Here is a 27,641-nt window from a genome sequence, read left to right as displayed (position 1 = left end):
CCAGAGCAAGATCTCTTGCCCTCCTGCCCCCTACTGAAGAACAGTGTGGGTCTGGGACTGAGAGAGAGACCTTGCTGGCCTGGAACACAAGAGATGGCTGCCACTGCTGCCCCAGCTTCCCCTCCCACAGGGGCATGTGCCCAACCTCCTCTTTCTAGAGCCCCTGACCCTGACCTTGGTCAAGCCCTCCTTACCTCTTGCAGTAGACTTTAAATTGAATTTCCTTGTCTCCAGTGTTTCTCCTGTTAATCCAGCTTCCACCCTGCTGCACAATAATCATTTAATAGAAGAGTTCTGAATAGGACACTCCTCTGCTTCAAAGATTTCCGTGGCTCCCCATTGCCTAGAGAATAAAATTCAAATTCTTGTAGTTCTTAACGTCCTGGCTATGTTCGCAGCTCCCTCTTCCACCTCCGTCCTCCCTCTAAGACTCACTATTTTCTTCTGCTGCTTCAGCAAATCCAGGACTCCAAATGTCCCATGGCCGTCTCCATCTCAGGGCCTTTGCTCATCTGGGTTCCTGCTGCAGGGAATTCTGTCCCTTGTGCCTTTTGGACCACTATTCTACCTCTAAAGCCAAGGTCTGATTCCCTCCTTTCCAGAACATTTTCCCTATGCCACCTTAGTCTATTTTTGTTACTATAACAGAATAAGACTTACACAAAGTAAGACTGTGTAATTTCTAAAGAAAAGAGGCTTATTTAATTCATGGTTGTGGAGGCTGGGAAGTTCAAGATCTGGCAGTCCATCTGGTGAGGGCGTCAAGCTGCTTCAACTCATGGCAGAAAGCAGAAGAAAGGAGAAGCTCTGTCTCTCCTGAGAACGAATCCATTCCCAGTAAAACTAATGCAGCCTCTCAAGAAATCCATCTTAAAAACCTAATCACCAGCTGGGCTTGGTGGTTCATGCCTGTAATTCCAGTACTTTGGGAGGCTGAGGTGGGCGGATCACGAGGTCAAGAGATCAAGACTGTCCTGGCCAACAGGGTGAAACCCTGTCTCTACTAAAAATACAAAAATTAGCCAGGCGTGGTGGCTTGCACCTGTAGTCCCAGCTACTTGGGAGGCTGAGGCCGGAGAATCGCCTGAACCCGTGAGGCAGAGGTTGCAGTGGGCTGAGATCGTACCACTGCACTCCAGCCTAGAGACAGAGAGAGACTCCGTCTCAAAAAATCAAAAAACAAAAAACAAACCAAAACAAAGAAACCTAATCACCTCTTAAAGGTACCACCTCCCAACAGCACTACATTGGTGATTAAATTTCAACATGAGTTTTGGCAGGGACAAACCACATCCAAACCTACTGAGAATTAGTCACTTTTGGACCCCTATATTTGGTCTTCTAGTCTATTTAGTTATGTGCGTTATTGGCCTCCCCAGTAGACTCTGCAGTCTTAAAGAAAGAGCTTGGTCCAGGCCACTAATTTTCTATAATCTGCAATCTTTTATATCCTTATATCTTTGAAAAAGTATCTATTATTTCTAAATGAAAATTTTGCCTATGTAGACTCACAGGACACGTGAGTCAGAGGGATGTTATCAACTATTGGTGACGGCAAGTCATTGCATCCGGGCCTATATCCCGCTCTGTAGCTAAGGCAGACAATGATCATCAATCATGGTGGTCTTTCCAATGACCCCAGATGTAACTTTCTGATCCTTCCAACCCGGTGCTCCTAGCAGCAACCATTAATCAATCAGAGTTGATATTTACTTGCCATCCCCTATCTAGTTTCTTAGCCCTTATTTTCCAATTTCCTCCCCCCTCTCCTTTATGGCTGGTATTGCACAGCAGTCTTACTGGAAGCCCTAAAGGAAGTTCGTGCTGTAAAAGTTGAAATTTTTGTCTGTTCTTTTAAAAGCCTCCAGCAGTGAGGTAGGTCAGAGTTTGGGGAGAAATCCGAGATGTTCTTCTATTGGGAAGATTCACCCAGCTCTCCTTTAACTTAAAGGAAACTCAGTGCAAAGTCTAGTTCAGCCAATTAGCTGCACTGGTTGGTTAAAGCTAAAAGAAGATGATCAGTGTTCATGTTTAACTTTATAATATTGATATAGAACCCATAAATGCCACCTCAGCTCTTCAACATTGAAGAATAGGCAACAAAGTTTTCTCCTTTGAAATGAAACTACTATATTTCTAATAAAGAAAGGAGCCACATTTAGGAGAATTTTACAAAAACATTTCTTATCTTTTCCAACAAGTCTCTCTCCATTTGAGGAAAAGCCCGGTGATATTAAGGAACCCACTGATAGCTCCACAGGTGTATTCACCCACCCAAGGCAGGGCCACCAACGGGACTGGATACACTCACTGGCCTGTGGCCTCTGAAATTCGTCCTGAAGCCAAACTCCTTTTAGGCAACATGACATGATCAAGGCCAAAAACAGACATTCCCCTCAAGTAGGGGTTTTAATTACTTCGTGTGGTACCAGAATAGAAAATTCTAGAGAATTCTTTCCCTTTACTTCAGTAAACTTAGCAACAATGAATTCAAACTAAAGGGAATCACATTTTGACTGTACTCAGTGGATAAACTTCCACATTTATATTTACTGACACCCATTCAGAGCCAGATGTGGTTGTCTATCCTGGAGTTATAGCAGCGATTTACCTTGAAGAAAGCCTGGTCCCTGGAGAACTTCCATCCACTGCACGAATGCATGCTGCAAATGACATTCACATTCGTGATTTCCAGAAAAGGACAAAGAAGTACGACTTACACTGTGCAAGCAAACAAAACAATAACACTGGTCAAACATTATTTCCCATTGATGTGAGTACTGGAATTCCTCTAAATGTGCCCCAGCTTGGCTCCTCCTCTCATCCCTTCCCTTGATAACTCCTGTCCACCTGTAAGAATTCCTGCACTTACTGCCACATTTGAGTGTCCCCCTCTGTTACCTTCTGCCTCCCAAACCTGATGAGTGAGCCCTCTGCATCCCTGTACTGCCCTGTTATTTCCAAACTCCCCTTCAACACTGACAATGCATAGGAAGATTTCCAGATTAAAATTATTATTCTCAGAACATGTTCTACTGGGCCTCAGATTCCTTTTCTATCAAATGTCCTTCAAACTGTCCCTGTCCTATTGATTATTGTTAACTCTCTCACCAGTATATTGCTGGAACATTACAATTGTTGAAGAAATGCTTATTGAAGGAATGCGTTTAATGAAGCTGTTAATATTTAGAGAAACCTTTCTTTAAAAGAAGAAAAATGGCTGAGTTGAAAATCACTGAACTATCACTCAATTCCATTTTCCTGTTAAAGATGGACAGACAGCACAACACACACACACACACACACACACACACACACACACACACACACACACACAACATAGAAATAGTTCTTTCCATGAAGTTTCTTTAGAACTTTACTGTATGACTCTCATTCTGTTGACTGTGGTCAGAATTATGTTTTCATCTTATGCAGTTTATCTAGTCTTCCGTACCAGGCCGTACCGTATGTATTCTTCAAGGTCAAGGACTGAGTATTTCATTTCACCTACAGCACCCTCTCAAGTAGAATTACCATGTGTCTTCTTGCTACAGAGTTCTCTCTCTTTTCTCTCTCTCTCTCTCTCTCTCTCTCTCTGGATCTCATTTAAAAAAAAAAACACAACAAATAAAACGTGAGGCTTCAATACTTTGGCTGGGTTAGTTGACTATGTGGTGCCAAGGAAATGGCTTGGTGGTTTTTTAGTTTGGTTTGTCTTTTGTTCTCTGAATTTAGCATCATGTGAAGACAGAGTATAGCCTAAAGGTGTATTTAAAATGTCGTCCTATTTCTGAGCTTACTCAGACAGGCAATAGAAAATGGCATTCTTGATAATTAATGCCCTTACAGAAATTCAGCACAGGCTAGCAACTGTAAACAATAAGTTATTAGTCAGGGGAGGTGCTTGCAACATGAGCACGGAAATTCCCATGGAACTTCATAGGGCATGAAAGGGAAGATTCAAGATGCTCTGGATAATTTCGTTACTGTGTTTGCTTGATCATTTTATACTTAAGCAGACTGTTCATTACCATCATCTCAACCTCTTCTGCTAGCTTAAATTCCTCTTAATTCATTTATAAAACAAAATTAGAATGTTGACTGCAACCTATAAAGTAAGCCCACATCTTTGTTTAATTATAGATTCTATATAAACTATTTTAGCATTACTGAAGGTATATAAAGAAGGAATAAAAGAAGATTATTATTCTGTTAAAATGCCAGCTAAAAACAAACAACAATTTTTTAAATGTGCATTTATATCATGGCAAGAGACTGTGTTAAAAATCCCCAAACTCCTGAAGCTGTTTGAGAATTATGCCAGTGCACTGCAGACAAAAAAAAAAAAAAAGACAAAACTGGTTGAACATAATACATGAGTAGTTGAAATATGGTATGGTTTAATTTTTTTCCTTCTGATTCTTTTTCCCCCCTTTGGAAACCGATAAAAGATTTTGTATTTTTTAAAAAATCGACCTCATTTTTAGTTTATTTTCTAAAAGTGGAGATGTCTTTACATATGTTCAAAAGTATGTCTGTCAAACCTTTGGAGGACTTCTCAGAATGAAGAAATCTACAATGCATATCTTACCAAATTGTTTGGGGATTTTCCACTTTTATGTGTTTGGGCATTTTTCCCTCTTAAACATCAAACCTAATAATCGTGGCAGAAGGTTAAATATTTTCCATACTTTGTTTTTGAAATTTGTTCCTTTCAAAGAACGAACATATGGGGGGAAGAAATCTACACACCCAATCTATTATGATGGCTACCTCTGGGGTTAGGGAGTAGAACCACAAAGTGGGGGCAATGAGGGGGCTCTCACTTCTTTCACCATTTTATTTACAATGAAAGTGTATCCATGTGCCACTTGTACAATTTTCATAGCTACTTAATGAAAAAAAATCATATTTAGAGAAAAAATATCAATTTGGATAATTGTAAATGTTTTATGGTATCCCAAGTGTGAAGATTACACGTAGGATTGCAAAGAGAAAGAAATAGGGAGGAATTCCTGTTTGCTTGGCTGGTAGTATCCACTCTTTAAAGCATTTCTGTACAGAAAGAGAAATAAAAGAATTGATACTTTGATTAGTTACATGAAGATGATATTGAATTCATTTTCTCTGATGCCAGTTTGCTTTAACTTAATATCCCTTTTAAAAATCCATGCCCTCATGACATCATCAGTTCATGCACTATTTCTTGGTGCATTAAAATAGAAACTTAAAGTTTACATGAAACAACCAAATTCAAGAGACTACGCTATTTAAATTTCCAAATCTATTAGGGGCTAGGAATGAAATGTAATGCTAATTTAATTTAGTAATTTTTTCTCTTTCCACCAAAATGCACTATCATTGCTTGTGAAAGCCTCAATCCCATCCCCATCCCCAACTTTCTTTTTCCATCAGTCTGGGATGGAATTACAGGCTGATTTGAAGCACAAAGTCCAGTTGCATCCCAGACCCTTGTCTCTAAACAGCCAGTGCCACAGGATGTTTCGTGACCACAGCATGTCCATCATCTTACTTTCCAAATGCAGTGATGAAGGTTGAATGGGTGGAGCTTTTTAGTCTTCAAGAATTTAAAACTACGCACACACAATGCAAGAGGCTGGCAGGAGTCCTTTGTAATAGTGTGCGTGTGTGTGTGTGTGTGTGTGTGAAAGAGTTGGATCAAATGAGTGGTGTCCTGTTCAGAGCAGGACATAAGTTTCATTCCATGAAAGGAAACATAATTAATTCCACTTCCATCAGCACATCAAGAGGATGATTGGTAACTCACCTCCTACCAGCCCTGGCTGCAAGGGAGAGGTAGCCCAAGGGAAGTGACCCTTTATTGGGCCTGTGCTGGTCTCTGGCTGGCCAGGGAAAGCACACACCTCCACACTCCCAGACCCCTCCACATCCCCCTGGAGCCTGTCAATGTTTTAGTTCTGTCCTTTTTCCACTCTTGGGAGGACAACAATGTGTCTCCAGGTCCTGCAGTCTGGGTTTGATTAAATAATTATAAACTCCCAGCAGCAGGTCTATCATTTATGTCCTGAAACATGCCAGCATGTGTCTTTTGTGGCCATGCCAGCCAATCATAAAGTCACTCTCCTTATTGTCACTAAGAACACAGTGGTTCAATGTTTGTGCTTGTTCCTGGATTTTGGCTATAGAATGTTGCCCAGCAGTTTGCTGCTGGTGCCAACATCACTACAGAACTTCATAATAAATCCTTTCTATATTTATTCAGTCCAGTGTTCTGACACTGAAATTGCCTTTTATGAGCATATGATCAGAGGCTTCCATTTTCCACTTCTAACTCGGGGCGATTATATGTTCTAACAGAAAAGACCTCAAGGCTTGTTGTCCATACATGCAGCATGGCATGGGGACTGCCAACTGGCTGGGGGAAAGTAGGAGATTGGAAGTGCGTGAGAGCTGACCTTTTACCCCACGCAAAGGAAGCACAGAGATGATCTCTTTAATCCATTTGGTTAAAATGTTTAAAATTTTCCACTTCCTCCACAACTAAAGCCCAAAATAAAGTTGCCCAAGCAAGGCAGTAATATTTCATAGTAACATGCCATCTCCTACAAAAGGGCAAGGGGAGAAGGGGGAGGTAGGGATACCATTTAATTGAGTTCAAGAAACTTTTAAAGAAATGTTTTTCATTCTTGCCTTAACTGAGTCACAGGTGATCTCTAAATGGCTCCAATGTTAAGTATATCATATCAACCAAAACTAGGAAAGCGACTGAAATACCTGAATGGGAAGCCTTTTTCTATTTTTTATGTATATGAAAAATCTCACAATAATTCACATGGCCAGAATGACCTTCTACTAATGACAATTTAAGAAGAGGTCTCTAGAAATTACGATGTATAAAAATTTAGCAATGAAACACAGCCATGTTTTGGAAAGAGAAAGATGTGTTCTTTTTTGTTTTGCATAGTTCTGTACAGGTTCAGAAAAATATGAGTACACATGGCCTATATGTGTTTTCATTTTTGAAAAACGATCAAAGCCACTCATTTATTGAAAGGAATACAATACACAAAAAGAGATAACAAGGCTTAGTGAAAATAAACTGCATAAACTGGAGGAAGAGTACTGGAATAACAAAATAAAACCCATCAGTCGTTCATTTTTCATCACTGTCTTTCGTTTGCATTTACATTTCCTGAAATGCCATGGCATCGTATCAGTCTGCAGATGAAATGTGAATCTCGAAAGAAGAGTTACTTTATACAAAGGTGGAATCGGTTGAAGGTTGCATGTTTTGTTTTTACTGCATCCTTTAAAAGGATCATTAAAATGTTTCTGCTCAATGCAGATAGCAATAATTATCATTACAGGAAAGGCTTCAGATATTACATTTCACTTTTAAGAAAATGGGTTTTAGAATAAATATTAAATATATTTAAAATATATACAGTTTGACATTATTTTTCAAAATAAAAATATCTTATATTTTCAAAAACTGTAAGTTGAGATTTTGTTGCTTTGTTTTTAAGATTTGAGAACTAACTTCTTTCAGTATTATAATTCCTGGTGACATCACATTTACCCCAACAGTATTCAAATTATATATGTATTTTTGAAAATGAAGTTATTCAAATAAATTATTTTCAAATGTATCAACTTAAAACTATACTACTATTCTAGTGAGACTAACTTAAGTTGGAGACTAACTTTATAATTAATAAAGACATTTCAGTATGAAATGTGTAGTAATATACTGTGACTGCACATTTCTTTTTTTTTTTTTTTTTTTTTTTTTTGAGACGGAGTCTTGCTCTGTCACCCAGGCTGGAGTGTAGTGGCACGATCTTGGCTCACTGCAAGCTCTGCCTCCCGGGTTCACGCCATTCTCCTGCCTCAGCCTCCCAAGTAGCTGGGACCACAGGCGCCCGCCACCATGCCCGGCTAATTTTTTGTAGTTTTAGTAGAGACTGACTGCACATTTCTTTGGGTGAATATTACTGGGGAAAATAGTTAGAAAAAAGAAAACGTTTAAAATAGACCAAGTAGTCAAGAAGATAGAGAAATACAGTTTTTGCCCTCCTTTAGCTTTATATAGGAACTACTTATGCTTGTAAACATGAGAAAGACAAAGAATTCTTAGAGACTAAATGTTTCAAATGTAGAACTTTTAGACATTTGTGAGAAAAGCTGGCTTCTTAAAAAAAGTGCTTTTGACAAACAGTGCTTAAACAGAAATGCAGCCGTGTACAGGACTGTTTTTAGTTAAAAAATTTCAATGTGCCAACCAAAAAGCGATGTAATCGGTAACTGGCCACTAGGGGGCTTTCCTATTGGTCCATTCTTAAAAAGGACAGTAACTAATAATAAACAAACTGCAAAGATGTACTCCAATATTTTCTATCATACACATAGAAATAGCTGATTAGGAAGTGACAAGAGTCTGGCTATCCTATCATCTGGTTATTTAGATAGTATAAAAGTATTGATTAATTTTTTGCTTCTTCACTAAACAGAATTTTTTTAAAAAATCAACTGCTGTTATTTTGGGGTTTGTTTTTAGTTCAATAATGGTTGTTTTATCTGCTTCGCATAATCTTCTTTTGTTTTATTGATTTTCCCCAGAGATGAAAATAATGAACTTAATTTAATCCAACCAGTACATTGATTCAGTCTGTTTACTCAGATTAACCTAAACAGATATGCTAGCTTGTCAGAGCCTATGTTCATCATCTCTTTTGACAACTCTCCAAACTGTGGTCGTGTTGAGATCCAGTGGCACCATGGTGTGGTGTTCGATCAGCAAACCTTTGTTGAGCATTTACTATATACTGGATGCTGTGCTTGGTGCTAGGCTACAGGTGGAAACCAACTTAGTGTCATGGTCCTCACAGAGACGGCAAGGAACAAGATGAGAAAGGAAAGGGGTTTTGAGGAGGTTCCATTTGAGCAGAATCCTGAGTGGTACAAGGGAGAAAGCCATGTGAGTGTGATAGTCCAGAAGGTGGGATTTGGGATTTATTATTAGGAGGCCCGGGGTCAGGTCCCGTCTCCTTTACTCACCAGCTGAGTATGAACTTGGGGAGTTCGTGGACACTCTCTGACTTTGCTGTCTCACCAGGAATGTTAACAGTTCTGGCTCCATTCCCTGCAATTGTGCCTGCACCTCCTCCCTCACCAGATTTTGGGAGGATCAAATGAAGTGAGTGATTTGAGATCACAAATGATTTTTATTGAGTGAATTTTCAACTAGAAAACTTTGATAAACAAGATGCCTTCTTGTCCCCAAGTTTTAAAATATTTAATAATCAATAGCATGAAAAATGTTCCAATACATTAAGTTAACATTGTTTTTGAAAAATATCGTTTTTAATATGAATACATATATGCATAAGAGGGTTAGCCAAAGACATAATCCAAGATAGATATTTCTGGTTAAATTATGAATATTTTCATTTTTTCCTTTTTGCTTTTTGTACTTTCTGATTTTCTGTACTGGCCATGAAATGTTTCACAATAAAATAATATACTAATTAAACAAAATCATAAAGAAAAAAGATATTGATAGAGTGGGTGGAAAAATTCCATTTTCAACCAACATAAAATTTCTCTTTGTAGATGTTTTGTTAAATATTCATGTGGAGAGATTTTCATCAAAATCTTTAGATAATTTTCAAATCCCCACAAAAACCATTAACATCAAACTTTTTAAAACTTAAATCGAATTTTCCTTTTATAGTCTAAATCTCTTTCACCTGTTTGTTAAATTCCAAAAAGGAAATGTATTTCAAAAATGAAAATTATTTTTCAGTGTAATTATACATCTATGTTAACTTCTATGCTTAAACGTGTTCCTTTAAGATTTGTTTTTAAAATAAGTGACTCCTTCAAATGCCTCTCTGCCTTTGCATTTGCTGTGCATTAGGGTGACTTTCTGCTAATTTATACCACCTTTCAGAGTACATTCGAACAAGATGCATTTGAAAAATGCCCCAACATTATCCTTTCCACGGCACTCTGATTTTATGCATTTCCACCTTGCTTTCATAAACTATGCAACATTGACCTATCTGCTGATTTTTTCTGAATTCTCTTGGTGATAAGAAATTTGTTATACCTCCTTTTTTCGTTTTGCTTACTTTTAGGAACGCAAGTCCTGAATTAATAAGTTTTGGTTGTTAAAAATACAAAGGTCAGATGAAGTTCCAAGTCCATCCTCTCCTAGAGGCTGCCGTCAGTGCGTTGGATAGCATTCCTTTTGTTGCTGTTTTTCTAATACATCTGCATCCAGAGATACAGACCTAAAGAAACACATAGTTTGGGGTTGCTTCTCTTTTAAACAACATAATCTGAATCATATGAAGAAAGTATTGTTCCACACTTTCTTTTCCTCAAGATCTCTTGGAGATCTATCTGCATCAGGATGCATAGATCCACATAGTTTAAAAATAATCTGTTTCGAAGATGTATCCTCGGCCCTCTTTGGATGCCAAACGTTTGTAGGAACTTAACTATTAAGTGATCCAAATGTGTGATTTCAAGTCAGTTCAGAATATGCTAGACCCCCACTTTAAGCCTAGCACTGTGGATCCTGAGAGGAATGAGGTTATTACCCCTGCTCTGGAAGAGAATGTCAGATATTTCTTGAAAGGGGGAAGGAGGTAATAAATTCAAGGACTATTAACTCTTCTGCTGTATCATACATTTAATGTTTTAGAAATAAGCTGTTCCACTTTAAGAACAAAATAATTTAAACTCTAGGCACCAAGATCTAGAAGCTGGAAGCAACCTTGGGAAATCATCTTTGTCTGTCTTCTACCTTTAGACATTTAACTCAGGATGGAAAATTGAGTGGCAGGGAAAATGAACACTCAATTGAAACTGCGTACATGCCCAGAAAGAATCTAATGCTGCCTCAGAATCTGTTATGCTGATGTAGCTATTTCATTCCTCGGCATGTGTTTGGTATCTTGACTTTTCTTTATTATTTAACTAAGGAGGTGTCTCCTCATGTTTTCAAATAAAAGGCTTGATCAGTTTACTAACCTGTAACAGGGAGGTGGCCAGCGAGTTGGTGGAAATACCTGTTAAGAGGTAGAAGCTTTTTCATTGAGAGGCCAGGCAGGGCAGATGTTTGCACAGTTCTGAGACCAGCCTCATCAATGATGCTGCTAAATACTGCCACAGTTTTAGGGATGGTGAAGAGGAACCCCCACTCATTCCTTTGTACCCATCTTCTCTTCATACAGGTGCTCACATTTCTCCGAACTCTGTGCTTGGGCTTCTAAGAGTGCCAAAAAGGGTTAAACTGTGGGTGGTATGTTTGGTGTTCTAAACTGGTTTCATAGGAACGGCATAGGATACACGTAGGATTTCAGGTGAGGCAGAAGATGCAGAGCAGCGCTAAACTCTTCCAGACAGCGACAACCAACCTATAAGAAGCAGGCAGTCTTCTCTGTGCAGTTACAGCTCTACCAGCCCTAGGTCCCAGCAGTGCAGGCAAGAGCCTGCAGTGCTGGGTACAAGCCAGGTCGATCTATCAGAAACCCTTATCCTGTCTCCAGTGAACACTGAGCTTTCACAGAACAATTGTTGGAATGTAAGGAGAAAGAGTTTTCTCTCTGAGACAAGGAAGGTAATTTTAAAAATATATTGAACTATCAGAGATGTAGAGAAATAATATTTGATAATGCAACGTTTGACTCAAAACACCCAAAGTGCCTAAGCTTAAGCAGGACATTTGTGTCTTAAATAAGTTTATTTTAGATACAAGAAAATGAGTTAAAAAAACACACACACACACACAAGATATATCAGAAACCAATTATTAACATCACAGAAAGATCTGCCATGGCTAGCTTTAACATAAAATATCCCAATGATGCACTGATATTTTTATTTATTTATTCTTAAAATATGCCCTTTTTGGTTGTTTTTAGGAAAAAAATTGTTTTTGGATTCTTGAATTATAAAATATTAGAGCTTCATGTTCATGTAGCTGAATTCTCCCAGGTAATGTCACAGGCACGTAAAAAGACATCTTAATAGTGTTAGGAATTTTAAATGGTTTGTTAAAACACACATCAAATAAGAAAAATAAGGCAGAATCAATCTATGACTGAGAAAATTGTCTGTAAATTCAATTTGTTTTGTTTTAATTTGGACTTTTTAATAAGCAAGCAATATTTTAGGTCAATGAGATTCGATTTGTAGGCATAGATGTATTTTCCTTCTATACCACAAACATAGGAAATACTAATAAAAACCATACTGTGGAGCTTGCCAAGGTGATCTTCTTTATTATGGCCCTGATTTCTGAGTGCAGAAATCACATAGATATATTCCTAGCCTCTAGACAGTGTATACATTACATGTCTTATCAAAATCAAATACTCTAATCTAGTAACAACAGTATTTTTCATTTTAATTGATAAACAGATGGTATTTATGAATAATTTTATGCAAATAGAGTGTCACTGAAATTTTACTCAATGGAAAAAACAATCGCTCTGAGCCAGAAAACTTTTACCAAAATAATGTCAGATAACTTTGTTGGAAACTATGGCCATTTTTTCTGATATTACTATGGTTTGAATGTGTCCCCCAAAATTCATGTGTTGGAAATTTAATCCCTAATGTAACAGTGCTGAGAGGTGAGACCACTAAGAGGTGATTAGGTCATGAGGGCTCTGCCTTTGTGAATAAATTAATGTCATTTTCATGGGAGTGGGTTAATTATTGTGGGAGTAAGCTCCTGATCAAAGGATGAGTTTGGCCCCTTCTCTCTCACCCTCTCTTTGCCCATCTGCCATGGGATGACACAGCAAGAAGGCCCTCATCAGATAAGGCCCCTTGATCTTGGACTTCTCAGCCTCCAGAACCATGAGCCGAGTACATTTATTTTCTTTATAAGTTACCCAGTCTCATGTATTCTGTTATAGCAGCAGATTAAGACAGACATCAACAAAAAAATCAAAGATATACAAAAATGCCAGTTTGATTTTTTTAACATCTCTTGCTTTCTGTGTAATGCACCATGAATTTCTTATTTATAAAATATGTTCTTGAGGCAATTTAGAGATTAATTTGAAGCAATTGAGAATTTAATCCATCTCACTTTTAGGGGAGGTAAGATTAGATTAATTTACTCCACTAAATTCAATAAAGGGCTCCTTTCATTTGGGCTCAGTTTATCTCCTTCCAGTTCCTAGTTGTGCAATCTGGAGTTTGTGAGGCAGGGTGGACATACCTTTGCTCGCATCGGCCACCTACTTCATGAGCTGCACGTGCCCCTCAGAGCCTTGGCTTCCTGCACTTGAGTTTCAGCCCTCTGGAGCTTCATATGTTGCAGAGAATGCCTAAGGAAACCTGTCTCGCAAAAGTAGACTGAAGACCACATGTGTTGAACCATAGCCCATGCCAAGCTGCCCTTGAGGGAGAGGGGCTAATGCAGGACTTTGAAGGCAGGATAGAAGAAAGAGTCTGGGAAATGCTTTGGAAAATGGCAAAGCAGTCCAAACAGATTTTAGTTTTATGTCTGTTTAGGGAAGACCAGATATCAGACAGGATGTAATGTGACATTTAGATTTAATTCTGTTGATGATTTGCAGATTTGGAAATATACTTCCTTCATTGTCCAGTGTCCTTGGGAGCTGGATCTACCCAGGAGTGGTAGTTGCTTACAAGAAATGAACGATGAAAAAAAATTTACTGTGCTTTCACAGTCTGGAGCTCAAGAAAAATATAGTGACAAGGTGTGTTAGACTGCCTCTCGTCCACAGGAGAAAAGACAGACCAACCTGGATTTCCACTTTATATCTACCACTGATGAGCTGTGTGACCTTGGGCAAGTGAACTAACCTCTCTGGTCCTGTTTTCTCATCTGCAAAAAGGTGATAATAGTAATAGCTATATTCATGAAGATTTAATTCATGCCAGGGATTATTCTAGAAAGATGTATTAACTTAGTCATCACAGCAACTTTTGAATTTAGAATCACAATTAGCTTCTTGTCCAGTTGAAGAAACAAAGGTTTGGTGTTTTTTTGTTTGTTTGTTTTTTGTTTTGTTTTGTTTTTGAGATGGAGTCTTGCTCTGTCACCCAGGTTGGAGTGCAGTGGCACAATCTAGGCTCACTGCAACCTCCACCTCCCGGGTTCAAGCTATTCTCGTGCCTCAGCCTCCCAAGTAGCTGAGACTTCAGGCACGTGCCACCACACCCAGCTAATTTTTGTATTTTAGTCAAGAGATGGGGTTTCACCATGTTGGCCAGGCAGGTCTTGAACTCCTGACCTCAAGCAATCAACTCGCCTTGGCCTCTCAGTGTGCTGGGATTACAGGCGTGAGCCACCACACCCGGCCAAGTTGAGGAAACTAAGGTTTGAATGAGTTAAGTAAGTGGCCCCAGCTCATATAGCTAGAAATGCAGAGTCAAATGTCAGGTCAAAATGTCTAGATCCAAGGAATGTGTTCTGACACACAATACCATGAGAGACAGGCTAACATTAGCTGAGGCCAGGGACTGTGAGCTGGATTGGATCCCCGCAAGCTCCCATCACTTACAGGCTGCAAACGTGCCAAGCAACAGAGCCTCTCTGGGCTTGTCCCACTGTAAATCAGGGATAATAATGGGATCTGCCTCATGGTGCTTCTGTGAGGATCAAATGAGGTAATATTTGTTAACTCAGAACAGTGCTTGGTAAGAACTAGGTAACTATTTAAGAGTGCTCTTAGTATTATGTTAGAACTTATACTCTGCAATGATATGGATTGAAGCAAAATTTAATTAATACATATAAATTACTTAGCTGTACATAGTAACTACCCAATAAATAATGCCTTCTAGGAGATTTTGTGCTAAGTATGAGGCAAGGTTTAAGTCCTAGTGAGGTGCAGATCACTGGGCCCAGGGCCACCTACTGTGGAGCTCACAGTCTAATGGAAAGAAGAACAACAGTTTTAATTTTCTTTTCTCCAAGGGATCAGAAAATTCTGTCTTTAAGCAGGCAGATTTCTCATCTGCCTGTAATGATACTCATGCAATAGGATAAATGGATTGAGGAGTATTCCCAGGCTCATCTTTTCCCCTAGCCTAGTAGAGAGAATCCTATGGGTACCGCCTCCATTTCTATCTCTTAGCCACCATCAGCAGGATGACTGAATCTGACATAGAGGGTGGGAAAAACTAGGTCAATCTCCACAATAAAACATCAAGTGAAAAAGGAGGGGGGAAAGCAAAGTGCCATCTTCAGAACACAGCAAGGGCATGCAAATGTGTGCATGTAGGGTGTGTATGTTGGGTATACATGCATGTGTGTGTTTTGCGAGTGCGTGCTGTGTGTGTGAGTGTATGTGTTGGGGGCTGGGGTGGTTCCAGTGTAACTTCAGGGTTTAGGGAAGGTATAAGACAATAAGATTGAAGTAAGTATTACAAGGATCTACATTTTCTTTCTTGTTGTCAAAATACAGGAGTAAAAGAACTCTATTCCTCTATTATTACTTTTGGCTCACTGATTGTATTTGTGCAAGTCATGCTCCTTGGAGACCAAAAAACCATGTGGTTTTATGGGGTATGGAACACCTATTTGCCAGGAACCTTGCTGGCCCATTTGTTTGAGAGAGACTCTCAAGTTCTGCCTGTCCTTGATCAACACCCTAAAGCAAATAAGATTTCAAGGTTGTTCCAGTCTTGGAGAGCCCAGCCACATGATTGCTTGGGCATCAGTGGGTTCTTTTTCTAGTCTCAGAGCCTTCAATGCAGAGTATGCAGTTATGAATCATTTCCCAATCTTAGACCACTGTGCCGTGGCCTCTCTAACATTGGCAAGGACTATTACAATCACAGGGGACAGATTCTACAAACACTAATGTACAGCAGTTTCCCAAACTTCCCTGATGGTGAAAAAACTGATTCCTGGGATCAATCTAGCAATACTGAAGCAGAAATTCTAGATGAAATGTCCAGAAATCTGGATTTTTGACCAACATCACAGGCAACTTTTATCAGTAAAGTCTGGAACAACGGTGTGGATGTTTCCAGCATTGCCAAAGCTCCCTACCCATGAAGAAGAAGCCAGGTGTCTTTCATGACTGGTGTACTAGCCACCTATGGTAACTAAAGTTGAGGATGAGAGATGAGGACCCATTACCCTGCACCCAACTTAGCAGCACCAAAGTTCATTATCTTTAGGGGCATAATTAGTTCAGGTAGAGCAAAGCTACACTGTAGACACAGTTGTCGATGTCTGCTTGCCCTTCCTCACCTCCTCTTCTCACATTCCTCTCTGAGCCACTCACTTGCTGCCTCTGGGCTCACTGCTCTTTTGAATTCCTGAGGTCAACGCTTTAAATATGATACCCTAAAGCCCCCAGATGAGCTCACCTCTAGATCTCCTGAGAGCAAGTTTCTCGACAGAATATATTAGTATCCTGGCAGCAGCTGGAGGATCAAAGCTAAATCTCCTAAACTGTATAAGTGGAGACTCCCTGCCTAGGGCTTCGGACACCCCTTCAACTTACTGTTGGGTATAGCTACCATACTTTCCTTTGACTACCAAGAGCAGTGTGACCTTGATTCAGAAGTTGCCATACAGGTTTTATTGAGAACCTGTGAATCTTCTCAGAGTATTTTTAGTTGAAAAGTATTGTGGAATTTTATTAGTTTTCTATTGCTGTGTAACAGTATTACCACAAACTTAGCCACTCAAAGCAGCACACATTTATTTTCTCACAATTTCTGTAAGTCAGAAGTCCAGAAACTACTTAGCTGGGTCCTCTGCCTAGAGTCTCATAAAACTGCATTCAAGGAGTTGACCGGGGCTACGGTCTCATCTGAGTCTTGACTGGGGAAGAATCTGTTTTCTAACTAATTGAGGTTGTTGAGAGAATTTAGTTTCTTGAAGCTGTAGAACTGAGAACTTCCATTTTTTATGGCTGTTGACCAGAGGCCACCCTCAGTTCCTTGACATGGGTCTTCCAACATGATCACATGGCACATCAAAGCAAGCAAGTTGGGGAGAGACCCCAGCAAGACTGGTGCTACAATCTTATATTATATAATCATACACATGTAATCACATACATTTTGTCCCCTTTTTCATGCTCTTTTGATTAAAAGAAAATCACAGAGCTGGGCACGGTGGCTCATGCCTGTAATCCCAGCACTTTGGGAGGCCAAGGCGGGCAGATTGCCTGAGGTCAGGAGTTCGAGACCAGTCTGGCCAACATGGTAAAACCCCATCTATACTAAAAATACAAAAAAAAAAATATCCGGGTGTGGTGGCACGCACCTGTAATCCCAGCTACTTGGGAGGCTGAGGCAGGGGAATTGCTTGAACCAGGGAGGCAGAGGTTGCAGTGAACTGAGATTGTGCCACTGCACTCCAGCCTGGGCAATAGAGCAAGACTCCATCTCAAAAAAGAAAAAAAAATTACAGGTCTTGCCCACATTCAAGGGCATGCGCACCCCCAGATGACCCTGAGGGGGATTACCTTAATGAGTTTGTGTGTGAAAGCAGTGATCACTAATTAGAGTGTCTGCTCAACCCCAAAACAACACTACTTCTCTAAGACGTGGGTTAACTGTGGCAGCCATGTGTGTGCTGTGGGACCCCGTACCCTGACCAGAGTTGATTGATGGGCAGGCAGAGACCCAACCCAAAGTGAAGCAATCAAATTCTGCCTTCCAGGATTAGGGCACTGGAGTTTACAAACAGCCAGTTAGTCTGAGCTATTTTCCTTCACGGAAGAGAAGACAACTATTTGTTGGGTGATCTTTTTCCAAAATGTACACGTGGGAAAGACAGAACAAAATTGGGACAGAGAGAATGATGAAGGTGATCTCCAGGGGAAAAAAATGAAAATTAGAGATGGAGAAAACAATTCACAATTCACTTGGGTTTCCAGTGGCGATCTAGTTTATGGTTCCAGGTTCTTATGTAACACATTGATGATGAGTTCCAGAACTCTTTCAATATCCTGTCAGTAAATCTTCTATTTTGCTTAAGCTTGTTCAAGTCGGCTCCTGTTCCTTGTCAAGGTAAAGAATCCTGATTAAGTTGAGATCTCAAAGCGGGCCTTATCTGTTCCTCACTTATAACCTCTCCAGCCTTCATTCACCTGCCCACACATCCATCCACCTAATAGGCATTTCTCTACTCCCTCATATGGCCCCTGCACTGTCCTGGATGCTGGGATACAACAGCAAACAAGACTTGAGCTCCTCACCCTCACCACCTCACAATCTATGGAGATGCCAGGCAGGTAAGCAGAGTCCCAGGTGGGAGGTGCTGAGGAGCACAGAAAAGAGGCAGGAACCTGAGCCTGGGGAGGAGGTCTCCAGGAAGGCTTCCAAGAGGAAGTGGCTAAACTGAGATATAAGAAGCAAGTCAGGACTAACCAAATGAAGGGGATAGCAGAGACAATTGTGCCAGGCAATGGGAACAGCATGTGAGGAGGGGACAAGGCAAATCTGTACAGCCTGGGAGCAGGAGCAAGACAAGTCTGCAGTCAAGAGAGCTGAGTGTATATGAAGAGACCTTTCATGGAAATGGTGAGAAAGCTGACGTTTTATACATCTGTCCCCCAAAACTATTACATCTTTGAAGCTAGGCACTGTAATTTTTTTTAAATTATGAACACTTAGCTTTCCATTAGGGATTTATTAATTTAAAAGTACGTGTTAGGGCATCTTATTTACTTTTTCACTTGTATAAATTAAAATTCACTCTTTTCAATGTAGACATCTATGATCTCTGACAATGCATGCAGCTATATAACCACCCCCATTACCACAATAGAGAATAGTTTCATCACTCAAAAAACTTCCCTCAAGCTGCTGCTTTGTGATCAACCCCTCTCCCCACTCCCTGCCCTTGCTAATATTCTGTATGTTCAGTATTTTATTTAATCTTCATATCTACCTGTGCAGTATAGATAGTAGTATTCTACTTTACAGATGAGGAAACCAAGGCTCAATGGATTGTTGTCTTCCTTCTTTCCCTGGCTTCCTTCTAGAATTGAGTGATTGCTCTGTCTGTGAAGATAAGGGGCCTGTTCCCTCAGATCATCAAGTAAGGCACTCACATTTGTCAGGTCACACACAAGAAAACATCAAGTCAGTTCAGAAAATTGCCCCTTGTTTTCTAAGACTTGAGCTCTGTGCTGAAAGGATATAAGAACAGAAAACTGGCATTATCCCTGGGTCAGATCTGCGTTTCCTGGCCTTCTGCTGTGGGGCCGAAGGCATGCATTTCATGAAGCCAATAAAATGCACCTTGTTCTCAAGAAATGTTACAACAGCTGGCTTCCAGATCCTCTGATTGTTATGTCTTTTTTGAGAAGTATCCATTAATTACTTTTAATCATCTCTTGATTTTACCAGGAAGGTCATTATTTCTACAGGGAGCTTACGGACAGATTTGGGAGTGTTTTCATGTTGTTTTTTTCCTGTGGTGTGGTGTAACTTTCTTTGTCATCAATACATACGTCAAAGCAGGCTAACCAGAGTATTTCCCCAGCCACAGCATATGGTTGGGTCATGCAAACAACCATCGTAAATCCTCCTTGACAGTGGCCCAAAATGATATCGTGACCTGGTCCCAGTGGAATCCAGATTTATGAAGATCTGAATGTGAGAACTGAGTGTTAGGAGCATGGATTTTTGAAAATGTGCCACATGAATACATCTGTCTATTTATATGGCTACTTGCCTCCATATGTGGCCAGTGAATGAAAAATATGTGCAGAGGTATTTGAAAAATTCTTGAGGTGCCTGAATAAGCTCGCCTGGTCCCTGGCACAGAGTCAGCACCCAATAAATATTCCCTGAGTGAGTGAGTGAATGGATGGATGAAGGAAGTGGAACTTGGGTCAGTTATAAGGCATCTCATTTTTCTAGAAAGTAGCTCACTACTATAAGGGCATACTTGATTACCTTTTCTACTTCTGAATGCACCCAATTTTGTTCAGGAAACCTCTGTATCCTCAATCCCAGTGGTAACTCTTAGTCTAAGCTAATCAGAACATGGCATTTTTTCATGGAGACTATGATTGGTCTGGGAAGATGCAATGTGACCTCTGTTGGCCCAATCAGATTAAAGGGGATGAGTTTTAAGTCCATGGCATGGGAAGAAGTTTTTCATTTTTTTTTCTCTGGGGAAAGACAAGGGATGTCACCCTATTTCTGCTCTAGGGCTTTTCCCTTCCATGCCAAGATCCTGCCTGGGCTGCCCCATTTACCTTATGACCTTGAGGGGAATCATTTTGGATTTGAGCCTAGTCCTGTGTAAAACAGAGAGCAGAAAACAATCTTATTCTTGATGACATAGTTGAGCTCCTGGACATTCCTGGAGAAGACCAGGATGCTGGACCAGATTTCACTCTTGTTGTTTGACAGAGCAATTTCCTTCTGGTTACCTTATGTTGGAATTTTTGTTGCTCTCTCCTGAAAACAAAAAGCTAAGGTGAAAGTCTGAAGTTGAGAAGAGAATAAGGAAGAAAGCTCAGTTAGTTATTTTGTGTTGTTTCTATCAACAATAATAGCAACTTTTGCATGTAGAATACATGCATGAAGATTAGTGTTAGATCCTGTCTTTCATTGTATGTATACACACCCCTGGGAGGTGAGTACTGTTATGCTTGCTTTGCTCACCTCCCTCAGGTAAGATTTGCCCACCTGGAAAAGAAGTTTTCCTCCTTTTCTAGTGATGCTGTGAGTCTTTTTCTTTCCCCTTATTAGTTTTTGCGCTGGTTTCCCTGGCAACAAAGAGAAAAAGAGGTTTCCATTATTATGTACTTCACAATCTGTCATGTCTTCATCCATTCATACTATTGTCCTTCTCACTGGTTCATGAAATTTAGAAAATGGGTTAGCAATTATTCCTTTTGCAGTTACTATAAGCAGGGTGTAGGCACGGAAGAAAGAGAAGAGGAACAGCATGGTCTGCTTTGTTTATGCAAGTTTTACAAAGAAACATGAAAACAACCCTTGCCTACAGTGATCTTATTCTCTAATTGGGGCACCAGGGCAGGGCATTTCAGATGGTGATAAGATACTTGAATAAATAGAAATACAAAACTGTGTTAGCCATCAAAAGCTAGCATGTCATTAATTCTTGGATGAGAGGAACATATTACTTTCAAATCCAGACTTATTTTTTTTCCTCCACCATCATCTTTTGCCTGGAGAGCTGCAGTGACTTCCAGATCTGCTTCCACCCTGTCTACTGTCAGATTGATTCTTCACACTGAAACTAGAGAGATTTTGTGGAGAAGCAACGCAGACCATGTCATTCCTCTGCTCTTTCTTGCATGCCTACAAGATTCTGCCTGGGGCGTTCCTCCAACCGCTATACCCTGGTCTTATGCCATGCCCCGTCCAATTCTTTCTGTTGCTTTCCTTTTGGGAAATTTCCAGCCCCACCAAGCAAAGGCCTTTTCATATGCTGTTCCCTCTGTCTGAAACACCCTTTTCTCTTCTCTTCAATTACTCAACACCTATTTATCTTCCTTCCTTTCTCACTTCAAACATGCCATCCTCAGCAAAGCCTTCTTTGAACTCCTTGTGTCAGATAAAACCTACAACAGGCTCTCATAGCACTAAGGATCTTCCCTTTGGCCTTGTCCCAGCTGCAGCTCTGCAGTTTGAGTCATCATTTAAGATACACCTCCAGATAGAGAGGGATCTTATCCATGTTTAGTCACTATTGGATCTCCAGAGCTTGACAAAGCATCTGGCATATGGTAGATGCTCAGTAAATATTTATTGAAAGAAAGAATGAGTATATAAACATGCAATCCATGCTCACTTTGTGCCAGACACCATGCTATGAACCTAACCATATTTTCATGTACTTATTAGAACTCTTTAGTTCCTTTCTATGAGAGAAACACTATTGTTGTCATTCCCATTTTATAGTTGAGAGCACTGAGGCTTAGAGAGATGAAAGGTGTCCAAGGTTACACACCAAGTAAGTGAGAGAGCTGGGATTCCAGCTAGGCACGTGGCTTCACATACTGAACTCTTAACTACTGGCCTCTGCCACGTCTCACAGAGGAAAGAAAGTTCTGGAAGGTCAGAGGAAGGAGAAGCTTTGTAAGCAAGCAGGAGTTTGGGCTAGTCCCAAAAGGCAAGCTGGCTTCATCCAGAGAGGGGATAAGAAGGAGGAGTGGTGCAGTGGCACACTGCCAACCTAAAGGCACCTTAGAGCAAGGTTCCCTTCTGGGTGGGTGAATTAGAAAAAAAATGCCTTGTCCTTCCTGCAAGAGCTGGCTTAATTTCAGCTTCCACTTTCTGGCTCTCTGGGCCACCCTCACCACTCTTTTTTTCTTTTTTCTTTTTTTTCCAGTGCACAAACCACTCAGCCATATGCAGCACTCTGCAGGCATGAAGACTCAGAGGCAAAAAAACAAGAAGTGAAAAACTCCATTTGGCTAGAGTGGAGGCTTTCTGAAGCAGATATAAAAGTCTAAGACTTGTGCTGTCCAATATAATAGCCCCTTACCACACGTGGCTATTTAAATTTCAATGAATTAAAATTCAATACAATTGAAATATCTGTTCGTCAATTATATTATCTGCTTTTTATAGCTACCTGGACTTGATAGCTGCCAGAGTGGAAAGCACAGATAGAAAACATTTCCATTGTTGTGGAGAGTTCTATTGGACAGCTCTGGTCCAGAAAGCAAGGTGGAGCCATTGACTGTAAAAAAATTGCTCACCCTTTATGCATGCCATGGGCTATGAGGAGTCATGAAAGGGTTTTAAGCAGGGAAGTGGTGTGAAAGAAGTATAGTGCTAAGAGAAGTAATAATATCGTTTATTGAGGGATAAGTGTGTTAGGTACCTCACAAGCATGATTGCATTTAAGGCAGGTAGTATCATATCCCCATTGTACAGACAAGGAAATTGTGGCACAGTGAGGTTAAATAACTCATACAGCTCCAGGTCTGTCTGATCCCAAAAGGTTCTACCTTATACCATGCTCCTAGCCTGTACTCTAATCAACATGATGATGGGAGTGTATTATTCAAAAAAGCAGAGCTCAAGTTCAGAGAGGCCCGTTTGGCAGCCCTAGTAGGCATGAAATAATAATGACTTCAACTAGGGGGTCAAGAGCTCCCTTTGTAGCAAGCTTCAGAGGTTTCTTGTTCTTTGTTCTTGGCCTGTAGTTTCCTCCCTTCCTCCCCAACCATTAATCGCAATCGCTTTCATTTTCTTTGGAATCATCTTTGCTTATTCTTTTGCTCCTCTTGTTGGTGTTTCCAGAGAAAATTGTGTTTGCATTAGGTTTTATCCTAATAAATTTTTATCCCTGGAAGTACGTCTCCTGCCTCATCCTGCTGTTAGGCCTCTTCCTAGAGATCCCAGGACACAGCTGGAGAGCTTGTGTGGGCCCCACCATGAGCCAAGCCCACAAATCCCATCTGGAAATGTGCGTGGCAGAAGTTTCCCTCTCCTTCTAGTTTTCCTGGTGAATGGAAATGCACCAGTGTGTCCCATTTCCTGCTGGGACATGGGGCCTTTTTGTTTCTTTGGCCTCCTGGTGTTGAAGGTAAACTCCCCTGGGGAGTACTTGCAGCTTCATTGCATGGTCCAGCAAACTTTAGTTTGTGACTATTTCAGCTTTAGGTGAAGTCTGTCAAGCAATGGAGGTGGATTGGCCTTCCCTGGGTCTTATAAAGAGAATTGGTTTCTAGAATTTGGTTTTTTAGAGTATGGACAAGCAGATCCCCATTACTCTCCCCATCACCCCCGAGGAAGTCTATGAGAGGAACCCTTGAATGCTGATCTATGTGTGACAGCTGGGGAAATTGAGGCATCAAAGGAGGAGAGAATTCCACATGCATCAAAATTAAAGAACTAGAGAGAAAACCATGACATCCAGGTTGCCTGGTCATGCTTTAACCACAAACCGCACTCGCCTATTTAGTTACAACAAACACAAAAGAGATAAACATAGATGTAAGTTAGTCTAAACACCAAATTTTAGAAGTTTTTCCTCTGATGTCTAGTCAGTCATCCTGACCTTTATTGGAGGATAAACCAACTTGCAACAGCTGTGGATAATTATTTACTGTAAGTCAGAGACCAAAGGGCTTGGATAATGAAGTGAATTCGGCATTAGAAGGAGAGAGATGTGCTTTAGCACCAGAAAGTTACCTTTTAAGTTGATTCCTGAATTTCAATGATCAAGAGGTACCAAATTCACTATCTAAGAGATGCTGGAAAAGCGCAGGATGTGCTGAGCAGTGGACTTTGTTCACATGTGAGGGGTTTTACAAAAATGTACAGCCACACCTGGCCCTTCCTCAGCCTGGAATCATCCAAGAAGATACTTTGTGCAGATGCTACTGAGATGACACATCCCTTGCTGTCCATAAAAGTGATCTACAGCTGGCTGTGGTGTTACCCAGCCATCTTGGCTACTCAATAAGAAACAGATTTGGATTCCCTCACTCAGGCTGTCAGATTTTACAGCTGTCTGAGGGCCTATGGCAGTGTGGCCTCTCAGCAAGACACTGCTGAAGTGGGGCTCAAACATTTGGCAGTCAAGAGAGGGACAAAACCTTTGTATAATTTGGGAGTGAGTTCAAAGCCAATAACATTTACACTCCAGGCCAAGAAAGCATTTTAAAGCCAGCAAGGTGCCTCTAAGCCAATAAGGTGTTATTACCTTTAAGCACATCTCTTCTGCCCTTTGATAATAAGCGTTGTTTTAAAGTATTTGAAAATACCATTCACAATTTAGAACAGGATATATCACCTCCACACTTTGAACACCCAAAAAGAAAAAGAAGCCTTGATTGATGTTTATGCACTTCCATTATGGACAATCCTCCAAACACAACACAAGACATACACACACATGCACACTTCCTCATCCTCACCTGTGCTGCAAAATAATGGAATCTGGCCACCCCACATGTGGCAAGAGGAGCAGTGAGGCCAATCAAGTTCCTCTCCAGGAGCCCCATTCCTAAAGGCCAGCCAGTACAGGGAAAAATTTGTTGCAAGTGTTCCCATGCCTTGCTTAAGGTCCAGCCCCCAGGATGCTTTCCAGAGCAAGACCTCTGCTGAGAACTCTGTGTTCTAGAATTTTAATTAAACAGACCACAAAACCCACTTGCTCCCAAGTTAAATTCTAAGTCTAAACTTGAGAACAACAGAAAGTAGGGAAATGTGATCATTGGCCTGGGCAAAATGGTTGAGCACAGAATAGAGACAGTGTAAGGCAAAAACTAAGAGTACAGAGTCTAGAGCTAGGCAGCTTAGGCTCAAATCCTGGTTCTGCTGGTCATACTCCCTGGCTGTATGACCTTGGGCCCATTACTTATCTTATGAGGTTAAGTGAATCCCTGTAACTTGGAATCATGACTCAGAACTGGGGGTAACCTTGAAGACCCTCTTGTTCAACCATTATCCCATTAGACTCAGCCATGATGATGAATGAGGAGACCCAAGAATTCCCACTTCCCAGCCCTTCACCATCAGAGTGGACCATGAGGGTGTGCCAGTGGCAGAAGAAGAGGAAGGCAGGAGGTCTCCCGAATCTTTTGCCAAATACCTTAGCCTAAACTGGAAAATATCTTAGGGTTACTGGATGGACAACAGAGCTGAAAGCTCTATGCGAACCTTAGGAGGCCGATGGACAGCTAAGAAACTGCTTCTTATCCGTCTCTCTCCTTCCAGGATTCAGTCTCTGGTTTCTGGAGTGAGAACTACCATGCTACGTTCCATTGTTTCCTGTCTGAAGCATGTAGTTCACCATCGAATACATAGTCCTTTTCCAGCTGTCCTACTTGTCCAGTCTCAACTCCCATCCCACACATCCCCTCTGTCTGACCACACTGACCATCTGCTGCCTAACACGTCACACATATGCATGACTCCAGGCCTAGACATGGTTTTCCCTCTACTTGCAATGTTCTTCCCCCTTTTCAAGTCCCTACTCATTCTTCAGGATTAAGACCAATGTTACCTCTTCTGTAAGGTTTTCCTAGACAGGATCACTAATTCTAATCATAGAGAAGTCAAGTACTGCACTGAACCCTTTTTATGATTACCTCATTCATTCACTGAATCCTCACTACAATCCAATGAAATAGATTCTACTATAATCCCCATTTTAAGATGAGGAAACCAAGGCTCACAGGAGTTAAGTAAAGCCCAAGGTTACACAGCTAGTTAGGGAGAGAGCCAGTTTCAAGCCCAGCTCTAATTATTCTAGAAGCAAATTCTTCCCCCATGGGTCTCCCAGTGAACTTTATTGACTCTCCCAGTGAACTTTACTTATACTTTGGTTACATCATTTTCCCAGTTTAACTTTCTCTCCCCTACAAGATTAAAAATCAAGTTGGATGTTCGATTTATTTTTATCTCTAATACTTAGCTCACTGCTTGGCCCACAGTAGATACTTGACATAAATGTGAAAAAATGTGTTAATGGAGAAATGAATGAATAGATGAAAGGATAGAAGAGTAGAAGGAAAGAAGGAAGGAAGGAAGGAAGGAAGGAAGAAAGGAAGGAAGGGAGGGAGGGAAGGAATCAAGGAATAAAAATATTTGACTTCCTCAGAGGTACATATTATAAAACAAAGTAGCCTTTTCCAAGTACATCAAACATTATGTTCCATAGAGAAGAATTTTAATGCTGCCTGAAAAAATGTGACTAGATATTCAATACATATTTTATATTGACCCTGGGCCTTATTAATGGCAGGAAATTCAAAGGAAGTCAAGTCTATACTGTATGCACCTACTGCCAGAAATGAGGAGCCTACAAATGTTGGACAAAGCAAAAAACATCTGGGCCTGGCCATGACCTTGAGGAATGGAGATATTATGCTCTCTGAGCTTAGTCTTTTGGCTTGGAATAAAACCAAAACTAAAACCAAAAACCCCACCTCTATGTTCTTCTCATGATTTGAATGCCTTTCCCTTTGCTATGTCCTCCCTGGGAGAAGTCTCATCAACAGACTTCAAACAGGTAATCTTGCAGCTGCTACACATTCAAGTGTTTAGACTACATCTAAACTTGCTTTTTTATAACAACTTGCTTATTAGGGATGCATAAATAGATCTAGAGAAAATGAGAACAGATCTTATCTTTGGGTAAAAATATGTAAGGCACAAAACAGACTCATTAGAGAAGGTTCAGAAGTCAGGGCCTGTGGCTCAGAGTTCAAATTGGCCTGGCCAGAGCAAGCCTCCTCTCAGAACAGATGAGTCAGTGTGGTTATCACTCAGTGTTTTCAAAGCATAGAGGATGCAATCTGAGAGGCAAACGTGAGTTTCCAGATAGGGAGAGAGGAAGAATCAGGATTATGAGTGACATGTTAAAATATAATGTCGTGGTCTGCAAGGCCTAAATGCTTTGGGCAATGTTGTGTCTGGAATTTCTGTGGGACAAACCGTGTCCAGCTGTGAAGTCATTCCTAGTGGGTTTGCGACAAGAGTGTAACTCAGGGCCTTGCCTTGGTGTACCCTAAATGTGGAGAGGCTGACCGCTTGCCTAATTGAAGGCAGATGGGAGGTTGCAAAGCTGGGTAAAGAAGAAGCTTTCTGACATCTGTCTTTGACCCAAAAGGGGATAAACTCAGGCCACGTTTTAAAAAGACCCCCTGAATGATTTACATTTACCAATTCCTATAGATATCTCAGCAAAG

General features: G+C 40.6%; 2 long non-coding RNA genes across 2 annotated transcripts in view; one reads left to right on the top strand and one right to left on the bottom strand.

The window, feature by feature from the left end:
- The window catches only part of LOC124906243 (uncharacterized), a 207,146-nt gene that overhangs the window by 161,515 nt on the left and 17,990 nt on the right, over positions 1-27,641 (top strand). The gene's annotated exons all lie outside the window — the stretch shown is intronic.
- LINC02017 (long intergenic non-protein coding RNA 2017) lies at positions 225-11,267 on the bottom strand. The gene is made up of 3 exons (NR_147142.1): positions 11,023-11,267; positions 2,612-2,721; positions 225-343 (listed from the first exon to the last, which is right to left on the bottom strand). It is a non-coding gene; the product is annotated as a long intergenic non-protein coding RNA 2017 (long non-coding RNA).

The sequence above is a fragment of the Homo sapiens genome, chromosome 3 (genome assembly GCF_000001405.40).
Source record: "Homo sapiens chromosome 3, GRCh38.p14 Primary Assembly".
Lineage (NCBI taxonomy): Eukaryota > Metazoa > Chordata > Mammalia > Primates > Hominidae > Homo > Homo sapiens.
This window is presented reverse-complemented; position numbering and strand designations above follow the sequence as displayed.